The sequence below is a fragment of the Homo sapiens genome, chromosome 21 (genome assembly GCF_000001405.40).
Source record: "Homo sapiens chromosome 21, GRCh38.p14 Primary Assembly".
Taxonomy (NCBI): domain Eukaryota; kingdom Metazoa; phylum Chordata; class Mammalia; order Primates; family Hominidae; genus Homo; species Homo sapiens.
The window spans coordinates 13,853,679-13,855,738 of record NC_000021.9 but is presented as its reverse complement, the minus strand read 5'-3'; the positions used below and the strand labels follow the sequence as shown (position 1 = coordinate 13,855,738).

The following is a 2,060-nucleotide window of genomic DNA, read 5'->3' as shown; positions in this document are numbered from 1 at the left end:
GGGTGGGGGACGGATGCTTCACAAATGATTAAACACTCTCCTTATTGCTGTCCTTGTGATAGTGAGTTCTCTTCATGATTTTGGAGCTGTAAGATTGAATGGATACTGGCCTTCTGGGTTTTGGACTTGTATTGGGCCTGTGGTCCCATTTGTGTTTTCTTCCTGGGAAATTTCTTCCCTTTGGATTGAAAAATCTTACCCAAAGCCTGTACCATTATTGTACCTTGAAAGAAAAGAACATCCTTTTAAATTCAGGGACTCATAGGCAAAAGGTACTGTAGACTTGTCTCAGATGAGATGTTGATTTTTTTACATTTGAGTTAATGTTGGAATGAGTTAAGACTTCTGGAAACTTTTGAAAAGGCATGAATATATTTTTCTCTGTGAGAAGGACATGAGACTGTGGGGATCAGGGTCAGAATAATATGATTTGGCTGTGTTTCTTTACCAAAACTCATGTGAATTGTAATCCTTAATATTGGAGGTGGGGCCTGGCTGGAGGTGATTTAATCATGGATGTTCGGGGGCCGGGGGTGGAAGGAAAAGGGGTTGGTAGGGTGAGGAGTACGTTGTTAGTAGGGTGGTGATAGGGTGGTGGGTAGTAGGAGGGGGAAGTAGCCTGCTGCAGAGGCAGAGGCTCATGGAAAGTCTCTACTAGGGCAGTGCACCTGTGGCTTTGCAGGGTGTAGCCCCCATGGCTGCTCTCATGGGCTGGGCTGGTGTTGAGTGCCTGTAGCTTTTCCACGCAGAGAGTGCAAGCTGTTGGTGGGTTTATCAATCTCCTGTCTGGAGGATGGTGGCCTCCTGTGTGGGGGCTACAAGCTCATATTTTCCTTCTGCACTGCGCTGGTAGAGGTTCTCCAAGAGGTTCTGCCTCTGCAGGAGGCTTCCGCCTGGAAACAGCGAGGGGTGGTGCGGGCGGATCCTTCACCATTGGTTAATCTTCCTGAGGCTGATCTTCTGATAGTGAGTTCTCATGAGATCTGGTTGTATAACCGGGTGTGGCACCTCTTTCTTCTCTGTATCTTCTTCTTACTCCTGCCATATGGAACATCTCATTGTCACTTGGCCTTTTGGTATGATTGGGAGGCTTCCTGAGTCCTCCCAGAAGCAGAAGCCACTTGCTGCCTTTACAGCCTGCAGAAACATGAGCCAGTTAAACCTCTTTTAAAAATAATACTACAGAAAATTTGTACTGTAGAGTGGAGCTATGAAATGCCCTCAAGGTTTCTTCATCTTTTTTTTTTTTACTATTAGCATTTGGCTTCTTCTATATGCAAATATCTGAAGGCTTCTTGAATTTTCCCCCTGAAAATGGACTTTTCTTCTTTTACCACATTGCCAGGCTGCCACAACGGTAGCTGAAAATGTAGAAGCAGGTTCAGACGTGGGTAACGACCAGATGCTGCACAGTTTGGGGGGCTTGGAAGAAGACAGAAAGATGAGGGAAAATTTGGACTATTGTAGAGATGTGTTAAATTAAAACGGTGACCATAGAGACTTGTTACATAGCTATAATTAAAAGAGTGACTGAAGGATGGACAGTGAAGGCCAGACTTAGAAGGTCTCAGATGAAAATGAGCAACTTACTGGGAACAGGAGTTAAGGTTACTTTTGTTTTGCCTTAGCAAAGAACTTGGCTGGATGGTGTTCCTGCCCTGGAGACCTCTGAAACTTTGAACTTGAGAGTGATAATTTAGGGTATATCTGGTGAAATGAAGTAGGCAGCAAAGCGCAAGAGGTGTCTTGTCTGTTTTGAACAGCCTGTGGTCTTCTCTGTGACTGAATAAATGACCTCAAGTTGAAAGTTATATTTAAATGAGAAGCAGGACTTAAAAGTTTGGAAAATTTGCAGCCTGGCCAAGTGGTCAAAAAGCAAAGCTGATTTTCAGTGGGAAAATTCAAGAAGGCTTCAGAAATTTGCATAAAATGGAGCCCAGTGCTAATAGCTAAGACAAGGTTAAAAGGTCTTGAAGCCATTTCAGAGACCTTTGCAGCAGAGCTTGCTGTCACAGGCCCCGAGTTCTAGGACCCAAGAATGCTTTCCTGGGTGAGTCCCA

General features: G+C 44.6%; 1 annotated feature.

The window, feature by feature from the left end:
- Nucleotides 844-1,044: a silencer, noted in NCBI's record as "peak4343 fragment used in MPRA reporter construct". NCBI's record gives its function as "represses an SCP1 promoter by STARR-seq MPRAs in K562 erythroleukemia cells {active_cell/tissue: K562}" and the evidence as "EXISTENCE:reporter gene assay evidence [ECO:0000049][PMID:32103011]".